Source organism: Homo sapiens, chromosome 14 (assembly GCF_000001405.40).
Source record: "Homo sapiens chromosome 14, GRCh38.p14 Primary Assembly".
Classification (NCBI taxonomy): Eukaryota; Metazoa; Chordata; class Mammalia; order Primates; family Hominidae; genus Homo; species Homo sapiens.
Window position 1 is genome coordinate 49,467,915 of NC_000014.9, and position 2,565 is coordinate 49,470,479.

At 36.9% G+C, this 2,565-nt stretch overlaps 1 annotated feature.

The window, feature by feature from the left end:
- Window positions 399-900: an enhancer, noted in NCBI's record as "NANOG hESC enhancer chr14:49935031-49935532 (GRCh37/hg19 assembly coordinates)". NCBI's record gives its function as "activates a minimal SCP1, AML or CMV promoter by ChIP-STARR-seq in naive H9 embryonic stem cells {active_cell/tissue: H9 hESC(naive)}" and the evidence as "EXISTENCE:reporter gene assay evidence [ECO:0000049][PMID:30033119]".

Genomic DNA, 2,565 nt, shown 5'->3' on the forward strand with positions numbered 1-2,565 from the left:
CTCTAGGTTTCAGGGTGTGCATCTGTCAGTGTTTGTATGCTGTATCCTCTGGTCTTTTTTTTTTTTTTTTTTTTTTGAGTAGCTGGGATTAGAGGTCTGCGCCACCATGCTTGGCTAATTTTTGTATTTTTAGTAGAGACTGGGGTTTTGCCATGTTGGCCAGGCTGGTCTTGAACTCCTGACCTCAAGTGATCTGCCCACATCGCCCCACAAAGTGCTGGGATTACAGGCGTGAGCCTCTGCACCAGGCCTGTATCCTCTGATCTTGTTTCAATCAATTAGCTGTGTCTTTGTCATGGCTGCCCACATATGAATTGATGTCTTCTAGATCACATATAACAGCAGCTTAGTAACTTGCCTTTCCTTATTTTCATCACGTGCATTTATCAGATCAAAAATTAATCCCTTGAAAATGTCTTTGCCTAAAGAAAACTCTTTCTTCTTTCTCTGTAATTAATTTTTCTCATTGCATGTAACGTTTTAAAACATTTGCTATCTTCTCAGAATGTTAAATATGTTTGATTTTCTTAGTTCTATTGACTTAATCATAGAACCTCAAATATCACCAGTAAGGCAAATTACAATAGAACTAAGAAATATCAACTTATACACTTTAGAAAGGCAGCGTAATTGGCATTATAATCACCAAACCTAGAGGCGCTGAGAATAGAGGGCAAAGGTGAGTTGCTAAACAAAAAACGGGCATTAAATAAAAATCTGCTTATCAAAGAGTGAGACTCCATCCTGTGTGCACGATGCCACCAGCCAAGCACACACCTCATGGCAGGAAGCTGAAAAATCCTTCTGGGGAGAAACTGAATGGCCCAAAGAAAAGATCAAAAGACCCTAATCTTTAAGCCTTTCCTGAAAACAAGGAAAATAAGTCTTTCCTGCTTATAACCTGATCCCCTACAGAAAAGCCCACTTTATGGTCACAGTTTTTTATTGTTTTTGTGGCTCACATTTAAATGGGAATAGACAACCAGGGATCACTAGAAATTTGAGAAAAAACTTCAGCACAAAGTGAAATCATAAACACAAGTAGAAAAAGAACCTGGCATAAATGAATAAACTGCAAGGAAAGGAAAAGAGAAATTTTTAACATCCCTACTACTCAAAGCCATCTACAGATTCAATGCAAGCCCTATCAAAATACCAACAATATTCTTCACAGAAATAGAAAAAACAATCCTAAAATTTATACGGAACCACAAAAGAATCCAAATAGCCAAAGCGATCTTAAGCAAAAAGAATGAAGCTGGAGGCATCACACTGCCTGACTCCAAAATATACTACAAAACAATAGTAACCAAAACAGTGTGGTACTGGCATAAAAACAGACACATTGATCAATGGAACAGGATAGAGAACCCAGAAATAAATCAATGTATTGACAGCCAACTGATTTTCAACACAGGTTCCAAGAACATACATTGGGGAAAGGACAGTCTCTTCAATAAATGGTTTTGTGAAGACTGAATATCCATATGTAGAAGAATAAAACTAGACCTTATCTCACACCATATATAAAAAAATCAAATCAAAATGGATTAAAGATTTAAATATAAGACCTGAAACTATAAAATTATCATACTAGAAGAAAACAAAGAAAACATTAGGGAAATGCTTCAGGATATTGGGCCTGGCAAAGATTGTTTTGATAAGCTCTCAAAAGCAGAAGCAACAAAAAAAAAATAGACAAATGGGATTATAGCCAACTAAAAACCTTCTGCACAGCAAAGGAAATAATCAACAGAGTGAAAAGACAACATACAGAATGAAAGAAAATATTTGCAAACAATCCATCTAATAAGGGGTTAATATCCAGAATATATAAGGAACTGAAACAATTCAACAGAAAAAAAAAATCAGAATTTAGGAGGGGTAAATAATCTGAATAGTCATTTCTCAAAAGAAGATCTACAAATGGCCAAACGGGTATACTGAAAAATGCTCAGCTGGGCATGCTGGCTCATGCCTGTAATCCCAGCACTTTGAGGGCCAAGACAGGTGGATCGCTTGAGCTCAGGAGTTCAAGACCAGCCTGGACAACATGGTGAACATGGTGAAACTCCATCTCTACAAAAAAAAAAAAGAAAAAAAAAAAAAAATATATATATATATATATTTGTGTGTGTGTGTGTGTATATATATATATATATACACTTATACATACAAAAAAAATCAGCTAGGCATGGTGGTGTGCACCTGTAGTCCCAGCTATCTGGGGGGGCTGAGGCAGGAGGATCACTTGTGCCCGGGAGTTCAAGGCTGCAGTGAGCCTTAATCACACCACTGTACTCCAGCCTGGGCAGCAGAGTGAGACCCTGTCTCAAAAAAAGAAACGTAAAAGAAAAATGCTCAACATCAATAATTATTAGGGACATGCAAATTAAAACCACAATGAGATAACATCTCACCCCAGTTAGGATGGCTATTATCAAAAGGACAAAAAATAACAAATGCTGGTGAGGATGCAGATAAAGGGGAAACTTATACACTATTAGTGGGAATGCAAATTAGTACAGCCATATAGAAAACAGTATGGAGTTTCCTCAAAAAACT